Below are 24,027 nucleotides of genomic sequence, written 5' to 3'. Positions count from 1 at the left end.
CACAGATGCTCCTGATGCCATAGGGCCATCAGCCTGTGGGAGAGAAGACTCATCATGAGATTACATGTATTCACAACAGCCTGGGAAGGGGCAGCTCCTCTTCTGTCGGTTTTAAGTTTTGGGGGTTTGTGTTTGCAAAATAGCTGAATAGCAGAAGGATAGCCTGGCTCAGGGGAAGAGCTGCCTGGCATCTCTGCCCCAACCCCTGTGCTGGGCTCCAGAGTCCTGAGTACGGAGGCCTTGCCTGGTGTTGCCCTCACCAGCACCCCTGCCCCCAACCCCACCACAGCACCCAGTGCACGTTTGAGGGGAAGCATCTCCTCGGGGGGTGTGGACATGCCTTGGGCCTCCAGGTGTGTTCATCTCCCCCACCCCCATCAGCTCATCCTCCTGGGACACTTGGGGTCCACTCTGTGACTTGGTGTAGGAGAGACAGTGACCACCTGGGGCTGGCCTGGCCCAAGAGCTGGGCACAAAGGGACTCACCTCCTCAATTTGAGGTGGGGAGATGGGGGTCATAATTGGAGCTGGGAGCCTTGGGGGACTGGGGAGAGGGTAGGCCTGTCACGATGCTCCACAGTTTCAAAGTCTGTCATGGGCAGGAGGAAGTAGATTTGTCCGTTTTTGTTCAAAGGCAGAAACAGGACCTGTGGGCGGGGGTTCTAGGGAAAGAGAATTTGGCTAGTCCAAGGGAATTGTGTGTCTAGCATGGCCCAGGAGGAGTGAGGACACTGTCCCCCCTTGGCATTGCAGGGGACACCCACTGTTGCAGGCTGGCTGTGTATCCCTCAGGTCCAAATCCTAACCTCCCAAACATGTGAATGGGACTTTATTTGGAAATAGGGTCTTTACAGATTTCATCAAGTTAAGATGAGGGTGGGCCCTAAATCCAATGACTGGTGCCCTTCTAAGAAAAGAGGAGAACGGATGCACAGGGAGAGGGCCACATGATGATGGAGGCAGAGCCAGGAGTGATGTTGGCAACAAGTCAAGTGCACTGAGCACCGCCGGCAATGCCAGAAGCCGGAAGGGGCGAGGGAGGAGCCTTAGAATCTGGAGGGAGCGCAAACCTCCCAGCACCTTGATTTCAGACTCTGAACTGTAAGAGGATAAATGTGTGTTGCTTTTTTGGTTTTTTTTTTTTTTGTTTTTTGTTTGTTTGTTTTGTTTTGTTTTGTTTGAGACGGAGTCTCATTCTGTCACCAGGCTGGAGTGCAGTGGTGTGATCTCAGCTCATTGCAACCTCCGACTCCTGGGTTCAAGTGATTCTCCTGCCTCAGCCTCCCAAGTAGCTGGGATTACAGGTGCTCGCCACCATGCCCAGCTAATTTTTTGTATTTTTAGTAGAGACGGGGTTTTACCATGTTGGCCAGGATGGTCTCGATCTCCTGACCTTGTGATCTGCCCGCCTCGGCCTCCCAAAGCGCTGGGATTACAGTGTTAGCCTCCGCACCCGGCCAAATGTCTGTTGCTTTAAGCCGGTGAGTTTGTGGTGATTTGTTACGGCAGCCACAAGTCACACACACACACCTGCCAAACAGGTCACTGTCCTGCCTCTGTTAGAGGACGGATGATACAGTGTGGGACTCTGCAAAGTGCTACGCTGGGGCGGGGCAAGCATGCCCTGTGGCCGGCTCCTTCAGGGGAAAACACCCGTGGCCAAGGAGGCCCGAGGGTGATGAGCTTGCCCATCAGGGCAATGGATCACCGTTGACGGGGCTGATGCCACCACAGTGGGTGTTTTGGGAGCTGTAATTAAGCAGGGCCACTCAGCTGGCAGATTTACAGATGTTCAGGCTTCCATGGTGCTGTATTTTACTGGAACACACATAACCAGGCCTGTGCAGGGCAAGACAAGGGCACATCTGATGGTGATTAGAATAATGGGGGTGGGCTGTGTGCCACGTCTCACATCTGTATTCCCAGTAACTTGGGAGGCCGAGGCAGGTGGATCATTTGAGGTCAAAAGTTCAGCCTGGCCCACATGGTGAAACCCTGTCTCCACTGAAAATATAAAAATTAGCTGGGTGGTAGTGGTGCACACCTGTAATCCCAGCTACTTGGGAGGCTGAGGCAGGAGAATCGCTTGAGCCTGGAAGGCAGAGGTTGCAGTAAGCTGAGATCACGCCACTGCACTCCAGTCTGGGTGACAGAGTGAGGGTGTCTGGGGCCGAACTGCCTGGCCATGGGGATTGCAGCTCTCCCTCCCCAGCCCCCTGTGAGACCAGCTTAAATCTAGCCAGGAATGAAAGTGGGGAGAGGGAGGACAGAGAGGGCCTGTCAGTGCTTAGGAAGCTGTGGAGGGAGGGAGGGGCCTGTGGAGATGACCCTGCCGCTACTGGTCACGGGCAGGGGTGCAGTGGCTGGGGGAGGTGCAGGGAAACCAGGAGTGGGTTTGTGACTGAGGGGGAGCAGAGATCAACCCACGGCCCCTCTCCGTGTGGACTCTTCCCACCCTGTTCCTTGGAGTAAGTGGCAGCTGGTGGCCCTAGCAAATGCAGACGGCTCAGTGCTGCAGGCTTCCTGGGTGCAGAGGACACGTTATTCCTATGTCCGATTGACTGTCCCCAACACAGGCAACCTTGCCTGGCTGCGCATACTGTGTCTTTGTGGGCTGGCTATCCTGCCTTGTCCGCCCAGAATGTGGTCTGGCCAGGACCGCAGCCATGCAGCAGACCTGCAAGCCCAGGAAACTTTGAGGGGTAGCCGGGCCCCTTCCAGCCTGTGGATCATCTGAGGGCCTCATTCGTTTGGGGTGACTCACTTGGGTAACAGGGGAGAGTAAAGGAATCGGGAGATTGGAGGCCGCTGTCCCCTTGTGACACTCTCCGGAGGACAGGTAGGAATGAGCTTTGCTGGAGAGAGGCCTTGCTGGTGGGCTGACTTCTGGGAGCCTCTGTCACCCTCCCTCTTCTCCTTACCTATAGGTGATCCCCAGATCTGGCCAATGAGTCAAAGAGAGTGTCTTTCAGGAAAGGGAGGACGGGAGTCAGCCTCTGTGAACAGCCCTTGGAGAGGGGCCTTGGGATGTTGCCGTGGAGCTGCTGCTTCTAGCCCAAGGGGGAGGCCTACATTGAGGGTAGCAGAGCAGGCAGGAGACAGGACCTGTGTCCTTGTGGCATAGAGAGGGGCTGAATCGCCCAACCCCGCAGCTGCCACAGCCTGGACTTCCCGTCATGTGACTGGCACGCTTCCTCGTGGCTTCAGCCAGTTTGGGTCAGGTTTCTGTTGGGTGCAGCTGAAAGCATCCTAACCGATTCAGCTGGGATCCCTCTGGGCATGAGAGCTGCCCACATGGCAGTCCCCCAGAGCAGACTCTCCCGTATTTCTCCCCCTGGTCTTTGTCTCTGTGGGCCCAGTCTCTGGGGCACTTGTCAAACCGACTTCCGAGGGGGCGACGATCTCCCTCTGTCTTTGTTTTGCACATGGCAGGTGGGCGTTTTCCTGAAGGGGCTTCCCTAAAGCACATTGAGAAAAGAAACCTGAATAAACTGGGGAGACACAGATGCTTGGCCATGGTGATGTTTTACAAGCCTGATTTCTTCTCCAGACACCGCTGTTAGGTCACGGTGGGTCTTGGGGCTGGCACGGCAATGGCCATTCATCATTGGTTCTACCCCCAGGAACACCTTTTTTCTTGGATTTGCTACCAAGCTTCAGGGACCAGTGGTGTGGAACAGCCTCTGGCTGGTTCCGAGCCTGGACTGGAAAGGATGTCAGCCCCTCCAGGACCTGGGGAGCGTCTGGCAGACCCCACAGAGCTCCCATTTCATATGTGACGACATACCCTGCTCTTGGCACAGCTGATGTGAGTCCTGTGGGATCCCCTTGGATTCGGATTCTAACCTCTCCCACCTCCCTCTGAGCCACTCCTGAGCATCTCGCCGGGGAATGGCTTGACAATGTTCCGATGACTGCAATCCTACAGCCTCAGAAATATCTAGACAACTTCCCACCTGCAGGGAGAGTTGGTCAGCCCTTCTGAACGGTGATGCCGGCTCCTCCTGAAGCCGTCACCAGCTATGGGTGATGAGGTCTCCTGTCTCAAGTTGGATGACATTTTCGTTTTTCACTATTGTAGAATTTGGACTAAAGAGAGAAAATACGTTTGTTTACAAAGGGCGTTTTCTTATTTAATGCTTAATTGCAAGTTTCTGTGTTGTAAAATTTCCTCTCCTGCCCTCAACTGTCCCTTTAGTATTTTTTGGCTAATTCAGCCATTTAAAAATGCTGTTGTGGAAGAATAGTTAATGATTTGGTATGACATAGAGTTAAATGGAAAAAAGTTACAAAATGGAATGTACAGTATGATCCCACTTAGAACCCAAAATATATATTCTATGCATAGGAAAGTCTGGGAGTGTATATATGCTCAAAATGTTAACAGGAGTTATTTCGGGTTAGTGGGATTATGGGTTATTTTTATTTTCTTCTTTTTGCATATGTGTAGTTTCTAAATTTTCTACAGTGAATATGTATAACTTTTATAATAAGGAAAAAGTGATACCACGGATCTTTCTAGAGGCTGCTCAGACTCTCTGACCAGAGATGACCCAGGCTGCCCTCCTATGCTGCAAAGCACCCATGACCAGCCCCTGGGCTCTTCCCAAGGGGGCCACACCCTGAGAGCTTCCCCTTCCCCATCGCGGGGTATCTATGCCTCATGCTCGGGGCACCCTGGGCTGGGCAGAACTGATGCTGGTTTCTGTGAGGGTTGAAGTAATGGAAATGCTTTTCAGAAAACTCCCCCAGTCGGCCAGGAGAGAAAGAAACAGTCATGCCAGAACCTGGAGGCCCCTCCCTGACAGGTGCAGACCATGTTGAGCATGGAGCTGTGGCTTTTATGTTGAGCACGGAGGGGTGGGTTTATCGCCACCCTCGCTGACAATGTCACTATTCCTCTGTTCTGCCGCCGCCAGCCAATGGGCATGGCCAGGTGTAGGCTTGGGAGGATTTTCGATGCCTGGACTCGACTCTCTGCCTCCAGTTGGGGAGGACAAAGAGCGCAGCTTGTCCCGGCCCTGGGACCGTCCTACCAGGGAAACACAGGGCAGAGGCCATGAAGTAGACATGAAATGGCCGGGTTCAAGTCCCAGCTGCCCACCAGCTGGTTCTTAGGAACTTCTCCAAGCTTAGTCTCCTTCATCTAGAAAATGGGGGCAACGCCTCTTTCACAGGGATGTGAAAACTAAAAGGAATCACGGGAGTCAAGACCTTGCCTGGCACTTGAGACAGGACAAGCGCTGCGTCTTTCTGTCATTGGAGGAATGCTGAGTCCAGCTGGGGACAGCCCCTTCCCTTGGTACAAACCAGTAAAGTCTGCTGCCAGAGCTTCCGTCTGTCAGCTGACATCAAACTCCTACCTGCTGAGAGCAGTTTCGACAGGGGCCACCCCTTCCCTGACAGGCGGCGTGCATGCGTGCACACACACACACGTGTTCAATAGTCACCTGATGAAAGAGAGCCATAGGGCAGGAATCGGTCCCTGTGGCCTTTGCTTGTGTCCCAGGATTCTAGTACTATGCTGGCGATGTGAGGGCAGCAAGGCCAAGACTCTGTCCCCACAACCCCTTTCCACCCTTATCAAGAGTAGGGACAGAGGCAGGGGCCCCTGGCCGCTCCTTCCTGGAGAGCGAGCTCTGTGTGGTGGCCTCAGTGGCTCCTAGCCTGGAGTGTGGGCCTCTGGAGTGTGGGCCTCCATCGCTGATCTCGGTTACTTCCACTCCTCCAGCCTCCCACGTGTGGCCCCCTGCCCAGTCCACTCACCTTGGATCTGACCCTTTCTGTCCATCTCTGCAGCCCCTGCAACCTCATCAGCTCTGGCTGAGCCTCCCTGCATGCAACCTGGTTCCTCCTCTGTCCCAATCCAGAGGCTTCTCTCTGCAGTGCAAATGGGCTCACCTGGGCCCCACCTCAATCCCCTCTGTGCCACCCTAGGCTCCACATGGAGTCCCAGCCTGGAGCTGGCTGGCCTTGGGCCAATCCTATTCTGCCTTTAGGAGCTGCAGGGGATAACGTGTACAAAGGGGGAACTGAGCCTCATTCTTCCTCCTCCCCTCCCCCCTCCAGTGCAGTTATTCACATTCAGATCATTTGCCCCGAGGACAACTTTGTGAGAGGTTCCAGGGTAATTCTGGCGCTGCCACCTGAGAAGGAATGAGGCCAAGGTCTAAAAGAATCCACGGCAGGGTCATCTGCATTCAGGCCTGCCTCACTTTGTGGGAACCTGACCTCCCAACATGCACAGCAGAATCTGGGTTCAAGGGTCCACATCCCTTGAGGACCCTCCCCTGCAGCAGCTGGCCCCTCTTGCAGGGTTTGCTGCAGGCCGGCACTGTCCAGCCTGCTGTGTGCGGAGCGGGTGGTCAGCGGCCTGGCGGTCAGCTGTGAGGGACGCATCCCAGATGAAGGTGAGTCACGGAGAACGTGATTGATTTGCACAAATTGCCTGGACACAGATTTTCAGGAATCCATCTGGGTTTGATAAGAGGTAGAGCTCTTTCGTTTCTAGATTCCCGGGGAGCTTATGTTCTGGGGAAACTGGGTGCGTTTGCTGCCAAAAAGGGCTTTATTTTTAGCTAAATGTGAGAAGGAGAGGAGGGTCCCCTTGGGAGGCGGCCAAGGCTGGTGTTGGGACCGGCCTTAGAGGGGCCCATCACCTTTTTACTTTTGGGAAAGGTTTTCCCTTCTGCAGGCAGCGACGTGGGCTGGGATGTAAGGGCATGACCATGGGTGGATTATTCCGTCTCCCCCGTGCACTCAGATGAATACCAAAAGCAGCCAGCCATCACGCGTTCTAAATTTACAGGGTGCTTGTCCTTCACTGGCTGCCGAAAAGTGAAGCCGCCTCAGATGCCGAGAACACTTAGCCGCCAAGCTGCCTGGGCCCACCTGCTCGCCTGGGCCGCCCTCCTCCGCACACGCAGGCAGCCTCCTCATGCCCACCTGGGGCCTCTGGGCGGCAATAGATGCTGGCAGGGCAGGTGGGCACCTGTGCTGCAGACCCTCCTGGGCCGGCAGCAGGAGACCCCACCCCCATGGGCAAGCACAGTCTGTGGGGACTGAGAAGTGGGGTCTGGGGGCTTGGGAGTGACAATGGGGCTTTTCCGTGTAGCACCTTCTGGGAAGGAATCTGCCCGTTCTTCCAAGGAGAAAGTGGGCAGGCTCTGCGCAAACGATTGCTAAGTCCTGGCGGGGAGGAGCCCCTGGACTGGGGCACAAAGCCCCAGCGACCTTAGGGTAGAGGGCCAAGAATACCAGCAGCCCACAATATGACTCCACCACGTCCATCCACGGCGGCCTTCCTGCCGCACGGCACAGCCACGTGGCTCTGACTGGCCGAGACCGTCTAACCCGCCAGGCCTGGAATATTTACAACGTGAGTTACTTAGAATCCGCTGCTGCAAACAGACCCCCTTTCCCAGTATAGACGGCCTTGGAGTAGCTGCTCTGGAAGCTCCCGGAGGCTCCGTCCTCTGTGGTCCCGCGGCATGTGGGCACCTCCCCAGAACATCACACTGTGGTGATTGTCCCGTCTGGGCTTCTTCATGGTTTCTGCAGCCCTATTGCAGGCACCCGAGGGCTGGAGCAGAGTCTCATTCATCTTTGAAGCTCCAGGGCCTACACAGGCTGGCGCTGATCAAGGGAACTGCTGGGGCGGCCATCCTCCCCTCTGGTCTCTGTGGTCTGGCTTGCAGGGCTGGGCTGCCTCTTGGTGCTGAATTTTTGTGGATGGATTCCATCACGGCCTCAAAGTAAACTACCATCAGTTGGCCCCGGGTGAGCTGTCGCTGAGCCCAGGGCTGCGGCACAAAGGCGGAGGAGGCACGGCTCTGGGCCTTACGCATTTCATACTCTTTGGCAGATTTGGGCAAGAACGCTCTGTTGGTGGATGGTGCCATGCGTGGGGGATTTATTCGCAGAGGGACGAGGGCCAGGGTGATCAGGACAATTCTGCCACAGCATGACAACATCCCTGCTTTGAAAATACAACTTTAAATTGATAACAGGGCAGGTGCCTCACCCCAGCTTGGCCCCCGCAAAGTCCACTCTCTCCGTGGTGCACAGCTGGAGGTTTTCTCCAGGGTGAGAACGAAGAAAACTCACTTTGCCGATTCCTCCTCTCTGTGGGCTGTGCTCGATGCTGCCTCATCTCATTAAAAAGCCCCTTCCATCCAGGCTTTGTGGAAGTTCACGCTGGCTCCTCCATGGCGGAGATGATTTGAAGCAGGGGTCGGCGAACTTCTTCTGTCAAGGGCCAGGTTGTAAATATTCCAGGCCTGGCAGGCCAGATGGTCTCAGCCTCTCAGAGCCACGTGGCTGTGCCATGCAGCAGGAAGGCAGCCATGGATGAACGTGAAGGAGCGTGCTGGGTCCCAGCAACATGTTGTTCACAAGCACAGGTGGTGAGCTGGGGGAACTGGGGGAGCTGGGTTTGGCCCTGGCCGGAGTTTGCCAGCCCCTCTTCTAGAGCCTCAGGGGACGGGGGCAGGATGAGCAGTGCCCTCGACCCTTCCTTCCTCACTCTCCCTCCTTCCTCTGCCTTGGAGCATGCCCAGACCTCAGCATCATCTCAGCGGTGTCCCCAGGGCTAGTGGTACCAGTTCTCCCTCTGCCACAGACTGTGTCCTCTACCCCTTGACCTCACACAAGCATCCTCTTCCCTCTTGGGGCCTCGGCAGGGCCCCTCATGCCTCCTCACTGCAGGATCAGCCACCTCCCTCCCGGGGTGCCATGCTGCTGGCCAGCCACCCCGCCCCCACTTTAGCTAGCCGCTTCTTTGCACGCATCCCACTCCTGCACCCCAGTCTCCCTCTGTCTGCTGTGAGCCATGCAACTGGTTCCGTGGAGGATTGAAAACATAGGACTAGAAGGGACAGTTCTCCCTAAATGCTTTCCTTCCTGGGAATTCAAACCCTGTCTTCTGGACTTTCAGGATCAGGTGATGCGGTGGGGTGATGGGTGATGCGGTGGGGGGATGGGTCAACCTTTGCTGGGCTTTACAGCCTCTTGTCAAAACAAAAAGAAAATGCACCCCCATCCCCCAGGCTTTTGTTTTGCGATAACTATAGGCTCATAGAAAGTTGCAAAAGTGCGTGGAATCCTGGGTACCCTTCACCAGGGGAATGCAGCTTCAGACTGGAATGTAAGTAGTGTCCTTCCGGTGTTAAATGAGATCTCACAAGAGATAGCATCCATTCACATGGAGGTGTGTTTCCATGTCCCCACCTCTACCTGAGGCTGCTGTGCTGTTATGTGGGAACAGTTACTTAACACTCTGCCTTCATTCTGCCAAATATGTTTTGAGCACATACCCTGAGGCCCTGAAGCAGGAACTGAGGGGCGGTGCAGAGTGAAGACAGACACTGTCCCAGTCACAACAGCACCTGTGAGATGGGAGGGGCTGCTGGGCGGTCATCCCCTGCGAGGGGAGGGTGTCGCAGGGCCGTGCTCCCTCTGAAAACTCTAGGGGAGAGTCCTCCCTCCCCTCTTCCTGGCTTTGGTGGCTCCCAGCAGCCCGCAGTGCTCCGTGACGGTGGCTGCCTTACTCCAGCCTCTGCCTCCATCTTCACACGGCCTTCCCCGATACATGTGTCTCTGCATCCCCTCCTCTCCTTGGGACAACACCAGTTATATTGGATGTAGGGCCCACCCTACTCCAAAATGTCCTCATCTTAACTTCCAACTTAATTACATCTGCAAAGACCCGGTCTCCAACTAAGATCCTCTTCAGAGTTACTCAGAGGTTCAATTAAGATCCCCCTCAGAGGTACCTCAGAGGTTCAACTAAGATCCTCCTCAGAGACACCTCAGAGGTTCAACTAAGATCCTCCTCAGAGGTACCTCAGGGTTTCAACTAAGATCCTCCTCAGAGATACCTCAGAGGTTCAACTAAGATCCTCCTCAGAGTTTCAACTAAGATCCTCCTCAGAGGTACCTCAGGGTTTCAACTAAGATCCTCCTCAGAGACACCTCAGAGGTTCAACTAAGATCCTACTCAGAGGTACCTCAGAGTTTCAACTAAGATCCTCCTCAGAGACACCTCAGAGGTTCAACTAAGATCCTCCTCAGAGATACCTCAGAGGTTCAACTAAGATTCTCCTCAGAGATACCTCAGAGGTTCAACTAAGATCCTCCTCAGAGATACCTCAGAGGTTCAACTAAGATTCTCCTCAGAGATACCTCAGGGTTTCAACTAAGATCCTCCTCAGAGGTACTCAGTGGTTCAACTAAGATTCTCCTCAGAGGTACTCAGAGGTTAGGGCTTTGACGTGTCTTTTGTTTGGTGGTGGGCACAATTCAATCCACAGCAAGCCCTGACTCGGCAGAAAGAGGAAGGTGTTAAGGAGCGGAGAGGGCAAGGACTCCATCGGCCTCTTTGCTGAGACCCCGAACCGCCCCTTCCCTTTTGCCCCAGGAGGCCCTCCTGGCTGGTTTCTCACTGAGAGGCAGCAACAGGCATGCTCTCCTATTATTGTGGCTGCCAGCACTCCAGGACCAACTGGGTTTACAAAAATAAAGTTGCATCATCTGCTGCCTGTACCGCATCCCCTCAAACAGGTTATGAAGGGGAAGTGGGGGATATCGGAAGCAGATGGAGGAGCCCTTGATTTGCATAAGGAGCCATTTTCATGGCTCAGAAGCCTCCGTGGAGGGAATAATGTATAGAAATACACATGCGTAAGCCCTGGGTTGGGAAACAGAGGCACACTGATCAGCCACTAAAATAGACACGAGAGAGACAAAGCTGGTGGGGGAGGGAGTTGGCCAGGAGAGGGCACAAAGCCCATCGAGTAGCTGAGCACAGAAGTACCAGGCACAGCTGCGGAACCGTGCTCCCCCAGGTTCTTTTTTAGTGTTGAGATTTCAACGCTGGTGGATCTTCTATATGCAGTGGCAGGATGGGCGTTTCCAAAAAGACCTGGCTTTTCTTCTCTCTCCTAGAAGGGCAATTGGAGAAAGAAAAGAGAGAAAAGAAAGAAAAGGAAGGGCTTAGCTTCCAGCCAACTGAATTGAAGCTCCTGGCAGGGAAGAGGTGGCAGGCGTGCTCTGCATCCGCAGGTGCAGACAGGAGACCAAGCCGAGCTAAAGGATTCTCCTTTGTCTGGGCGGGTGACAGGGAGGTACTTCTGTGCCTAGAGGCACGAGTAGCTCAGAGTGGCGGGAAGAGAAGATAGGATCCAGCCAGGAGGACAGAGGTGGAGCTCAGGCTGCCCAGGGTGGGGGCAGAGGCAGATGCCTGACCTGGGGGATTGGCCACTGGTCATGGGGCTGACAGGTGACTTGTGAGTCTTCCAGCTGTAGGGTCCTTCTGTGTCTGGTTACCTTGAAGCCTCCAGCGTGGCTGGCTGCAGAGCTAAGAGCAGGAGGGGGCTGACCTGGTGTCACACGATGGTTTTTTTCCAAACCCTCTCATACACTCAGTTCCCTCACCCAAAGTGGGTATAACGGGAAGGTGCAAGGTGAATCACTGTCTATACAAAACTCTCTGCAGAGAATGAGGCCTGCCTGGTTCATCTGAGCCATGCCATGACCCTTCAAACTCCATGTGCCAGGGCAACGGAATTGAGTGCTCATGTCCATTTCACATCCAGCCAGCAGGACTTGGTTTGTCTGGGACGGTGGTGCCCTTCCCCTATTGCCTTTGTGGTTTTTCCCTTTGCCAACCCCACCGTCCTCTGCTCTGACCCCTTGCTACCGATCAGGATACTTCCTATCTCATGACCTGGTCCAAGAGTGCGTCCGGGGACCACTCGGGGCATTCAGGCCACTGTCCTGACCTCGCTGTTTGTCAGTGGCGGAGGCACAGCCTTGCAGAAATTCCCTAGGATTTAGGATCGTGTGATAGGTGACAAAATGCATGATGACTATCCTGGGTTCTCTTCTCTTTTGGGAAGGAAGCCACTTGGCTCAACGCCTGGTCCCGTTTCGTAGATGAGGCTGGCTTCCTCATGATCATGTGGGGGCTGCCTCTGGGTGGCTCCTCCAGGCAGGGTTCAGGGCCGCTCTGGCTGAGCCTCTGTGGGTGACCACCTGAGAGTCACACTCCCCTCATGGTGCTGCCTCCATTGCTCCTAAGTGGGGCCACACAACTTGCTAGCTCTCCCTGAGGGATTGTGACTGGCAGTGTTGGCGTCACCTCCAGGTAAGATGGCTGAGTGCTGGCTGCATGGACTTCCTTTCCTGGCTCAGTCTCCTGCACTGTGGCTGGGTGGTGTCAGTGCCCCTGGTGTACCCCAACCTGGAAGCAGCCTGGAGGCAAACCTTTGAGCCGCAGCAGAGCCAATGGCCGTCGGGGGTGGCGGTGGCTTGTCTCCACAGCCAGCTCGTCCTACTGAATCCAGCCACTTTTCTCGGGCTTTCCTCGCAGGCTGTAGGTCAGCGATTCCCATCCTGGCTGGGGGATTCCAGCATTTTTCCAGTTATCACAAGAGACAGGTTGAAATTCTAAAGAAAAAATGTTTTGATCCCTTTTGAATTAAAATGTACTCATAGAATATATACTCAAACAAGGAAACAACTTTCCTCTACAAAAACCCAAGCTTAGAAAAAATAGATGATGGTGATTGGAATTCTAATATACTACCCAAGGAATTCCAGCAATGTTCCTTTAGACATCGAGCTCCTGGCAAGCCTAATAGCTTTGATTTGATTACACGTATGTGATTATAGAAACTTTACAGAGGTGCAGATAATTCTAGAATGGGGGTGAGAGAGAGTGCAGTGTTATAGAAATCCAGCTGATTTTGGCAGCTGGCCCCTCCGGGAAGACTGGGAAGCATTTCCAGGGAATTGAAGACCAGTCTTTCTCACTTTTTGGCAAACTCACCTGTAACTTGGTGACTCCATGTAATGAGTACAAGAGGCCCTGGTCTCTGGCTTACTCTTTTTTAGGAGAATGGTGATTCTTGCCCCATGATGTGCCTGTGGTGCTTTAGTTTATGGCAGGGTTGTCAACTAGGGGGTGATTTTGCCCCGGGGGGACATTTGGCAATGTCTGGAGACATCTTGCATTTTCTCCGTTGGAGGTGGGGTGCTCCTGGTGTCCAGTGGGAGGGGCCCAGAGACGCCGCTCCACACCTCACAATGCACAGGACGGCCCCACAACTAGGAATGAACTCTCCCACCCCAAATGTCAACAGTGCCGAACTCTGGTTTACAGGGCACCCCGAAAGGTTGGGAGACATGGTTGGTCTCTTTCTATGCCAGAGCCCTTGAGGGCAATATGCTTAGAGGAACATGGCAGGGTGTTGCTCTCTGACAGTGAATAATATGCAAGAATCCTTGTTAGCCAATTATGGAATCATGGAGATCTTAAGCACTCGGTGGGACAGAACCAAACAGGGCCTGGGGAGATTCAGCTTGAACCCACCCATGATGCTGTGTTTGAGGCACTATGCAAACTGGGGCTCCCTTTACACCTGCTGTGGGGCGGAGGCATATTCATTCGGCTTGAACCCACCCATGATGCCATGTTCGAGGTGCTCTGCAAACTAGGGCTCCATTTACAAACCTGCTGCACGGCAGAGCCATGTGCTGGAAGATGCAGTGCCCGTGTCTGCTCCACGCTCCCAGCCCGGCCGGGGGCAGCAGGATCTAACCCCCAGTGCCCGTGCCTGCTCCACACTCCCAGCACAGCCAGGGGCAGCAGAATCCAGCCCCCAGTTCTGCACGTTGTTGGTAGAGGGAGGAAAGAGCTTCCACAACCTGAGGTTGGCCTCCTAGGAGGGGGATGCTGCCACAGATTCAAGGTAGTCATCTGGCAGTGAAATCCCAGAGCTAGCCTAAATGCCCGCCGTGAGAGTGAAGGTGTGTTTTGGTGTGGGTGTTTTTCCTCTTTAAAACCATTGGGAGGTTGCCGAAGAGAGAGCGGGCTGCCTCCATTAAGCTGGGGGAGGAGAGGTCTCCGTTAAACTCCTGTGAAGCTGTTTGCCTGCTTGAATGCTGAGACAGTGTTTGTAAATATTGGTTCCAGGGAAATGGCTCTGAACCTGCAGCATGTCTACTGTGTGTTGGTAAGCCTGCCCAAACATTGTTGTCTGCAGTACCCTTTTGCCAAACTCATTGTTTTATCCAAATGGGGAGCAGGATTATTTTATTTTCAGAATGCTCTGTGATCCTGGAATCCTCTCTCAGGAGGAAAACTCAAAGGTCCTCAATCATAGAATGCGGGACTTCAAAGGGATCTTAAGGACCATTTAACCCAACTCCCTGGCTTTAATGATGGGAAAACTGACTGCCAGAAGGGAAGAACAACAAGAGGGTCATGAGGGCAGGACAGAAACCCGAACCTCCACTTGAGGCTGTGAAAGTCTGGCCCCGTTTTCCAGTGCCACCGAGGTGGCCAGGGGAGACTGAGATACACGGTGTGGAGAGGCTGTGGGGGATAAGGTATTAGGACACCGAACTCTTATCTACCTTCTGAAATCAAGGACCACTCAAAATGTGCTGGCTAGTTTACAAGGTTCGCCTTTTATTCGTTTTGCGTTTTATCACCTTGTGTTTAATTTGTGTTTGCCCATCTCCTTCTACCCCACGGGGTTGTGAGTCCCGAGGGCAGGCAGCTTGCCTTATCCCTCACCGGAATCCTGGCAGCTGCGTGTTCACCTGAAGCTCCACCAGGCTCAGTAACTCTCTGTCCATGAACCAATGGGGCCGTTGATCACATCCTCTCTTTGGTGGCTCACCAGGGACAACAGAACTCAAAATAGAAAGTCACCACTGAGGACCTGGGTCTCCTCACCATGAGGAACGCAAGAAGAGTCACGGAAGCTTCCTCGTCAACATTTCAGGGATGTGTCTAAGAGCACAGAAGGACCTCTCCTCCCTCCAGCCCGTTTCCCGCCCTCTGAACACTTGAAACACAGTGGGGTTTGGTGGTGACTGGTGACATTTAGGCAAGTTCAGTTCCACACTTGAGACATTTAAACTTTGCTTTTTAGATTGTGATAAAATATACATCACATAAAATTTGCCGTCGTAACCGTTTAGAAGTCAGTGGTATGTAGAGCATTCACCTTGTTGTGCAGCTGTCACCACCAACCACCCATCTCCAGAGCTTTTTCCTCCTCCCAGATGGAAAGTCTGTCCCCCAGAAACAATTCCACATTCTCCCAAACCACCCGCCCCCCCACCACAAGCCCCTGGCAACCTCCATTCTTCCTTCTGTCCCTATGGATTTGGCTATTCTGGGAACCTCATAATCAGTGGAATCTACGGGATTTGTCCTTTTCTGCCTGGTTGATTTCACTCAGCATAATGTCCCCAAAGTCCATCCTGTTCTGGCCTGCGTCAGAGCTTCCTTGCATTTTTTTTTTTTTTTTTTTTTTTTTTTGAGACGGAGTCTTGCTCTGTCACCCAGGCTGGAGTGCAGTGGCGTGATCTTGGCTCACTGCAGCCTCCACCTCCCAGGTTCAAGCGATTCTCCTGCCTCAGCCTCCCTAGTAGCTGGGATTACAGGCATCAACCACCATGCCTGGCTAATTTTTGTATTTTTAGTAGATACAGGGTTTTACCATGTTGGCCAGGTTGGTCTCAAACTCCTGACCTCAGGTAATCTGCCTGCTTTGGCATCCCAAAGTGCTGGGTTTACAGGCGTGAGCCACCACGCCCAGCCCTCTTCTTTACTTTGGATGAGATCTGACATTCCTGAGGTGAATCTCGTATCCTCTCAGTGGGGAGAGGTGGTGTGTGTGTCGGGTGAGAGGACTTTAAATGTGATGCCGTCTTAATACAACTAAGGATCTCTCAAAACACCCAAATGTACCCTGAAAATAGTTGGAGTTGGGTAAAAGTTAGCTCAGGGGTGGTGTGCGGTGGGGATGGCCCCTCAGGCCTCCAGCCCTGGTGCCAGCAGGAGAGTTTGTGTCTGGACGTGAAGTTTGGGGGCCTCTAGCTCCTGAGGATGGTTTTTGAGGAGGGAGAGAATCTCTAGAGACTGGTGGACTTAAGGCTCAGGGCTGCCTTTAGGAAGACAGCATGACACAGGGCCTCTGGGTTAGAGCAATTTCTAGAAAAATAATGGCAGGGAACATTCCAGAAAAACAGCACCAGAGAACCAGCTCCTCAAAGGTGGAGACTTGGAGAGTGGGGAGCTGCTCAGGAGCTCACACAGTGCTGTGAAAACAGTTTTTCAGCATTAGAGGCAACCACACATTTTAGGAGCAATTCCAGTTGCCCGAGTTTTTCCAGGGTCTCCCCTCCAGTGTGGCCTGCACTGGTCCAAGATTCCGTCGGGTGAAGGTCAGCCTGTCACCAGCAGCGGGAGCAGCAGCAGAGCCCTCCTTTGCCGCTCACTCTGGCCCTGAGTCCTGAGCCACCGACTTCACTGAAAAACTCCCATGTCCACTTCACTGGCAATGGACATTAGTTAGGCTACACAGTTATCTAGGACTTTGAATGAGCCGAGATAAAATTTATTTAGCAAAAAAGTGTCTTAAGGATATGTATGTGCATGTGTGACTGTGTGTTTTTGTGTGTCCACACTTGTCTGTGTGTGCGTCTATGTATTTGTGTATGTATATGTGTGTGTGTGTGCCTGTGTGAATGTATAAGTGTGTCTCCGTGTGTGAGTATGAGTGTGTCTGTGAGTTCATATGTCTATGCATGAATGTATCTGTGTGTGAGTGTATATGAGTATGTCTGTGTGTGTGTCTACACGTGTCTGCATGTGAATGTGTATGTCTGTGGAGTATGTTTCTGTGCATGAGTGTGTGTGTGAATGTGTGTCTGTCAATGTATCCGTATGTGTCTGTGAGTATATATCTGCGTGTGTGTGTGAATGTGTCTGAATGTGTGTATCTCTGTGTATGTGTCTGTGCCTATGTGTGTATGAGAGTGTGAGTCTGTGAGGGTATGTGTGTGTCTGTGTATGTGAGTTTGTGCCTGAGTGTGTTTGCATCTGTGTCTGAGTGTGAGTGTGTGAATGTGTGTATGAATGTGTGTGTCTGAGCATGTGTGTGTATCTGTGAGTGTGTCTGTGCATGTGTCTGTGCGTGTGTCTGTGAGTGTGTGTGTGCCTGGGCATGAGAATGTGTGTGTGTGTGTCTGAGCGTGAGTGTGTATCTGTGTGTGTCTGTGCATGCCTGTATGTACTGGTGCATTGCTGTGGTCACTGTGGTAAAGCAGGTGCCTGGCTTTACCTGGTGTAAGGGGGACAAGCTGTGTCTCTCATGCCCCCCATCCTCTTTGCGTGTCTTCCGGCCCCTCCCAGACAGCCAGGAGTGGCGCTGGCAGCAGAGCCAAGCTGGCTTCACCCGTGTGCTCCCTGCTCGGGAGGGCTTGTGCTTGGCTCAGTGCTCTGCCGTCACCATTGTGAGATTCAAACAAGGGCCTCCCAGTTGCATTTTGCTCTGAGGACTATAATTCGTGTAGCTGGATCTGGTGGGGACCTCTTGCAGCATGGGGCGACTTCAAATAGAAGCCAGTCTGGAAGCTGTGTGCGAGTGTGTCTGCCGGGGGAGGCTGTGTGGCACCCGGCCAGCCGGGAGGGCCCGACTCTTTCCCTGCCGCCCTGGAGGGGAGTCCAACACGAACCCCACCCTTGTGCTCTGCCAGCCTGAGGCCCCGTGGCAGGTGCTGGCCTCTTTGCAGGGTGGCGCCGGCTGTCCCCAGGCCGAGATGTCAGGCTCAGGTGGCCGAGGACATTAATCACTTCTAGGCCTCTGGCCCTGTGCATGAGGCAGAGCAGAGGGAGACGGCTGGTGGGCTGGTGGCAGGGGGCAGGCGGTGTGGGAACGTGTGTGTCTGGGTGCGGGAGTATGGGCTGGGGTTTTAATGCGCATCCTGTGTTCCTGGCACCTGACCCCTGGACCCTGGCACGTGCGCACAGGAGGGCAGCTCGCTCAGCTGCAGCTCCAGGCTGCTCCCTGCCTTGGCCCGACATGCTCCTTCTAGTCCTCACTGCTGTCCCCGGAGATGCAGGTTGGCAGCTGCCCTGCACGTCCCCAGTCTCCGGCTGACGGGGAGCAGCCTGCGTCCCACCCCTGCTGTCTCCTGCCCTGCTGCCTCGTCACCTGCTTTGCCCGCCTGGGGCGTTGTCACACTGCCACTGGCTGACACATTGCCCGGTGAGCCCCACTCCACAGGGGAGGAGGCGGGGCAAGGCTGGGAGGGACACTGGTCCCAGCCCCCTCACCCATGGAGCTGCATGACTTGGGCAATTCACTCAAGCCTGGGCCTCGGTGTCCTCGACTGCACAGGGGAGACCTGGCTTGGTGACTTTCAACGGGCTTTGTGGACCACTGAGGTTGAGGGTTGCTAGGACTCAGAACTCGGCACAGCCACCATCCTCGAGGTGACAGCTTATTCTAGTGAACGGATGCAGAGGAAAACCAGCCATGGGGAGCAGCGCAGAGGCAGGGCAGGGTCCCGGGGACCAGCCAGGAGCTCTGCTGGTCCTCTCGCAGCAGCCATGCGGGACAGCACATATGGGTGTTGCCAGCCAGGGACGCTCACCCCCGCCCTGGTGTCCAGAGTTTTACTGGGTCTCAGTCATGGAGACGTGACTGACCACCCAGGTGCTGACCTCAATCTCCAGCCACTCCAAGGGTCAAGCTGACATGGTGGGGCCCGAGGTAAACAGGGATGCTCTTTCAGGCAGGCTACTCCAAGGGCTTAGGGGTGACCTCCCAGGAGCCAGGGTCAAGGGCCAAACCTTCCAGGTAAGACTGACGCTTGACAGTGTGATGATGGATGCTGTGATCCTGACAGCATGGACAGGACAGGTAAAGGGGAGGGGATGGGTGGGGAGCCGTCTCCTCTCAGCAGGGAAGCAGGGCTGTGGCCTCCTCCCTCTTGAGGGGCTCTGTTCCCCGTACCCACCCTGGTCCTGGCTAGCTCGGTCCCACCTCTGAGCTGGGTGGGCTGCAAAGCCGGGGCCATTCCAGGGCCAGAGGGCTTAGGACTTGCAGGACACACCTTTGCTTGCCGTCACTGGCAGGTCTCTTGCTCTGCTTCCTTGAGAGCATGGCAGGAGCACTCTGTGGGGAGTGTGAGCCCTGGGGGTGGGGGCGTGGGGTGTGCAGGCTCCCAGGGATGGCCCCATCTGCCGAGAGGGCTGCCTGCCCTTCAAGAGAGAAGCAGAATAGAAACTGGCCTTTGTTTCTTCCGATTTTTATGCTGAGTTCAAAGCTCGGGCTTCCCCAGCTCCTTGGTTTACCTCCGGAGCATCTGTTTCGGGGGCCCGGTGTCCCCAGGCCTTAGGGGGAGCTGCCAGCCCCGGGCTTCTCTTGGTGCTTCCCGGGTACAGCATCCTGAAGACGCGTCTCCCGCGATGGCTGGCTTTCTCCTTCTGGCCGTTCCTGGCCGTGGCCGCCTCGGCCCTCCCTTCATTTGGAGGAAATGTTCTATTTATGCCATCTCCACCCTCCCTACGACGGGAAAACAATTTTCCAAATTGTTTCTCTTGAAAGCAGGAAAGCTGGAGCGAGCCTCTGTGGGCCCAGAGCTAGACACCACTCTGCGGCTTTCCTTCCTCAATGCCTTCCTGTGGGTTTGCTCATTTGACCCCTACTCTGCACCGTGTTGCTTCTGTTAGGGAAGGCACGGCAAGGGGGCCTCAACCCCGGTTTTGCACGGGGAGCCTGAGGCCTGGCTTGTTCTTGCAGGTCCTCCTCCCAGGGGCTGTTCCGCCAGGCCTGCCCTTCCAGTGGTGGGAGAAAAATCCAGTAGGCTTCCCCACAGCCGTCCAGGCCCCAGCTCCCCCAGCCTTCAGGGATTACAGTGTTTCCCCCACGTGGGTATGAGCCAGGCTTTGGAGACACCTAAGCAAGCCCAGGGAAACTCGTGTACAAGGCACTTTCCAGCACCATCCGACCCGGAGGACTTGGGGCCCCGGCCAGGCCATCACAGGGGCTTCCGTGAGGCGCCCCCATCCCCGCCTGCCCGCTTCTCCCAAACAGTGTCACTCGCACATTTGTAGCTGCTGTCATAGATCGTATATAGTGGGTCTGTGCGCTTGAAAGAGTGATAGATCACTTTCACTGCCATGTCTCGTGATTAATTTCCCATAATAGTCCTCTCTAACACCAAGGCGAAAAGAGGAGAGAGAGAGAAAAAAACCTACATTATCCACTTGTGCTCAGAGTATAAATGAATTAGATTTAATTTCTGTTTAATTGTTTCCATAGCTCAGCCTCTGCTGACTTCACAGGATAATTTATTTTGCAGTCCTGGGGAAAAGGAGGAGGAGGGAGGGGAGAGACGGAGGATGTAGCCAAGTGGTCTGCCTGTGGATACTGTTTAATTACACCTGATAGTCTTATCTCCATGTAATTATGGGAGTCTCGTTCGGTTTCTCCGGCTGCCTCCTGTCTGCACTTCAGGATCAATACCGGGTCAGACCTCGGGCTAGCTGCTTTCAAGAAGGTGAGGGATCTGCCGGGAGCTTTGGTGTTGAGTCAGGAACAGGCGAGGCGGCTCCTGAAGTTGCCAGAGGGAAGGAAGGATGGAGATCATGTGTCTCAGAAGCGGAAATTTCCTGATGTTTCCGTCGATGTTACCGAAATGATAACTTTCCCCCAACACAATCTATTTAATGACCGTGGGGTTTTTCCCTGGCCTTCCCTCTTTGAAGCTGTGGGTGAGAGGCCAGTGGTGGGCTGGGTGGGGTTTTCACTGCACCTTGGAGTTTTTGAGTTGTCCTGACAATCTCTCTCCCTGCTGAGTAATTGAAGCACTGAGCAAGAGCTCAGCCATAGGAATGGGGGCCCCTGAACCCCACTCCCGCTTCCAAAGTTCAGAACTCTTCCTTTCGTCTCATCCTCCATCATTTTCCTCCTTCCTTTCTTTTGTTTTTGTTTGTTTTTTTTTTTTTTTTTGAGACAGACTCTCACTGTATAGTCCAGGCTGATGTGCAGTGGCATGATCTTGGCTCCCTGCAACCTCCGCCCCCTGGGTTCAAGCGATTCTCCTGCCTCAGCCTCCCAAGTAGCTGGGATTATAGGCACCTGCCACCATGCCCGGCTAATTTTTTATTTTTAGTAGAGGCAGGGTTTTACCATGTCGGTCAGGCTGGTCTTAAACTCCTGACCTTAAGTAATCCACCTGCCTCAGCTTCCTAAAGTGCTGGGATTACAGACGTAAGCCACTGCGCCCGGCCCTCCTTTTTCTTATTGTGATAAAATACACATGACATAACACTTACCACACGAACCATTTTGAGGGCACAGTTCAGCCAGTGGCATTCGGCACCTTCACATTGCCGTGCAATCGTGACCATCCACCTCCAGAACGTTCTCATCTTCCCCAACCAAAGCTCGGCCCCTATGAAACACCGGCTCCCCATTCCCATCCCCAGCCCAGCAACCCCCATTCTACCTTCTGTGTCTACGAGTATGACTCCCCGAGGGGTGGACTGTGGATTGTACGACATCCGACCTTTTGTGTCTGGCTTGTCTCGGCGTCACGTTTTCGAGGTCCATCCATATTGCAGCGTGTGTCAGAGCTTCCTTTCTTCCTGGGGCAGGGATCGTTCCAGCGCATCGCGTCCATCCGTCTGTCCGTCCATCCATCCATGCACAGTGTGTTGCTCCAGCGTGCTTTCGGAGGGCACACCTGGGGAGGCCCCAAGTCTGTGGCTCCATCTCGCTGCTCCTAGCTTCTCATCTGAGTTACCTGAGACTTTCCATCCCGTCTCTACCATCTGGGCCAGGCTCTCAGGAGTAATTAGAGGAATGAGGGTCCCAGGACCTCCTCTGGGGATGAACTCTGACCTCGGGGCGTGAACAGAGCTCTGGCTCTTTCTAAGGCCTGGAGCCCCTCTGGGCTGGACGTGAATATTTATGAAGCAGCTCTTTTGAGTTAGCCTCATTTAATCCTACATGGGGTGAGAGCCTGTGTCTCTCTGCCCAGGAGCTGGGTATCCTGGTTCTCCAGGGCAGGGGGCAGGCCCGGGCATGCTGGTAGAAAGGCAGGGGTGCCCAGGGAGGGGAGTGTGGCCACACGTGGGCATTTCATAGAACTCATGGCCACCTGCGTTCTCTTCAATTCAATGTCTGTCCCTTCTTACTTTTATCTTAAGCCCCGTGGGGATGGGAGTATTTTAGGCAATGGAAATGGTTCATTTTTCTTCGTTTGTTGTGTTGAACATTTGTCATGCCCAGAGAATGCAGACTGATACAGCAGCAGCTGGTGCTCCTGGCCAGGCTGTGCGTGCTCTCTCTGCCTCTCTCTCTCGGACTCTCTGCTCTCTCTCTCTGACTCTCTCCTCTCTCTCTGTTGGCCTGGTGAAATGTTCTTGGCTGTAGGCACACAGAGCCTTGGACTCAAGGCTGTTGGAGTCGAGGACACCTTGACTTCGGTCCTGGAGGTGAGCGCCTCGATTAAAGCTAGGTTTCTGGAAGGAAGAAGATAAACTATGTTCCTTGCTGGAGAAGGCCTGTAGCCAATCCACCCAGCAGCAGTTTAGTCCCTGTGATGTGCTAGTAGCGTGTGGGGCTCGGTGCAGGGGTGAAGGGTGGCGACGGACTCTGAAGCGGTGCAACCTCAGCCGGGAGCCTCGAATGCCTGCCCACCACACTAACATGGTGTGTGGTTGCCACAGCAAGGACCCAGAGAAGGGGCAGATACCTCCTTGAGGAGGGTGGGTACTTAGGGGCAATGTGGGAGGTGGCATTGGGTTGAAACTGAAAGGCAAACAGGTTTTCTGATGGAGGGAAGAGAAAACATCCTCAAGGAAAGAGCAGAGCAGAGACTCTGAGAAGGAACTGTGCTGCCAGCGGCCAGCATTTCTCGTTTTTTCTATGTGCTGGTGGCTCTTCTCCGATTGCGGTTCTCTTGTAACCCTGTCGATGAGCTCCTGCAAGTCTCAGGGAAGGGGATCAGTGTAACACAGGAGATGGGAGAGACCTGGGGTACAAGTGGCTTGACACATGGCCGGGAGCTGCGTGGGGGTCAGATGGGGGAGTGGCTGGATCACTGGGCCCTGGGCCATGTGCTGTCTCCCAGCTGTAGGCTGGGCACTGCACACCCCCAGGGGCCCCAGCTATGAGGTGACCTGGCCTGGGGAGCAGTGGGAGGCTTGCCACAGGGCTTCACCAGAGCAGGGCTCTGCTGATCCAGATGGAAGCTCAGCACTTGGCTTGAGTGTTGCTCCTCCGGAAAGGGTCTTCTGCCCTTCTGCCAAGTTCTACCTTCCCGTAGATGTGTGGGTGGGGCCAGATGTTACCAGGTGCACCCAGGCTGAGGGACCCAGGCAGAGGCCAACTTCTGCCTCAGGACACCCGAAGGTGTGTTGGAGAGTCGGGAGAATTCCCTCACCCCAGGCAGCAAAGAGGTGACGGCTCTAGGGAAGTGGGGATTAGGAATGGGGCAGCGCCGAGCCCCAGCCTCCTGTCTGGTCTTTCTGGAAAGCTCCCCATCCTGTCCCACCAAGTCCCAAGAGAACAGCTCCACATCAACCACAGCTTCTGCACGGTTCCATTTCACAGTGCACAGAGGACGTTCACATGCACTGGGCCATCTTTGTCCTTCCCAAGCTGTGGCCTTAACCAAATAGAAATGCTCCAGGGTCCAGTGGATCCACATGGCCTGGGGGGATGCAGATGCCACCCAGAGGCTTGTGCTAGATGCTGTGGGTTAGGGCCAGGGTTACTAGGGGTGGCTGTGGTGTTGCTGAGGGACACTAGGGGTGTGGTGGCAGCCAGGGAAACTTGCCTGTGGCCCCAGAGCCTGTCGGGCAGTGGCCACAAAAGGGCAGGATATCGCTGTGTGGTTGCCGAGATCCAGGAGACAGCGGTGCTTTGTCAAGATCACAACAACGAGGCGTGACTCAGGCCACCTGGGTGTGTGAGGCCACGCACCCGTGACCTCATCTGTGAATGTGGTGGTTCTAGAACCTACCTGGCAGGTGTGAGAGGACTCAGTGAGGCAATAGTGGCCCACTGCTTGGACCAGTGCTGGGCCCAGGGAGTGCATGTCTGCGTGACCGCCGAGTGTGTACCCGTGTGTCGGATACCCAGGTGCATGTTCTGAATGTAGCCCACTGCAGAGGTGCATGCTGTTGGGAAGGGTGGGGTGAGGGGGTGC

The 24,027-nt window shown here is 54.4% G+C and overlaps 1 protein-coding gene across 46 annotated transcripts in view, besides 2 other annotated features; it reads left to right on the top strand.

The window, feature by feature from the left end:
• Nucleotides 1–24,027, top strand: part of RBFOX3 (RNA binding fox-1 homolog 3) — a 576,227-nt gene that overhangs the window by 127,308 nt on the left and 424,892 nt on the right. The window contains exon 1 of one of the 46 annotated variants that reach the window (NM_001385833.1): nt 6,344–6,410. The exons of 44 other annotated variants lie outside the window; for them this stretch is intronic. The gene's annotated coding sequence lies outside the window, so the exon portion shown is untranslated. Of the gene's footprint in view, nt 1–6,343; nt 6,411–22,143; nt 22,310–24,027 lie in introns of those variants that run through there. One more of the 46 variants, NM_001082575.3, reaches the window with a different exon arrangement.
• Nucleotides 4,332–5,103: an enhancer, noted in NCBI's record as "H3K4me1 hESC enhancer chr17:77529243-77530014 (GRCh37/hg19 assembly coordinates)". NCBI's record gives its function as "activates a minimal SCP1, AML or CMV promoter by ChIP-STARR-seq in primed H9 embryonic stem cells {active_cell/tissue: H9 hESC(primed)}" and the evidence as "EXISTENCE:reporter gene assay evidence [ECO:0000049][PMID:30033119]".
• Nucleotides 5,104–5,875: an enhancer, noted in NCBI's record as "H3K4me1 hESC enhancer chr17:77528471-77529242 (GRCh37/hg19 assembly coordinates)". NCBI's record gives its function as "activates a minimal SCP1, AML or CMV promoter by ChIP-STARR-seq in primed H9 embryonic stem cells {active_cell/tissue: H9 hESC(primed)}" and the evidence as "EXISTENCE:reporter gene assay evidence [ECO:0000049][PMID:30033119]".

This window comes from Homo sapiens, chromosome 17, assembly GCF_000001405.40.
Source record: "Homo sapiens chromosome 17, GRCh38.p14 Primary Assembly".
NCBI lineage: Eukaryota > Metazoa > Chordata > Mammalia > Primates > Hominidae > Homo > Homo sapiens.
Note: the sequence above shows the minus strand (reverse complement) of the source record. Positions and strands in the feature narration are given on the sequence as shown.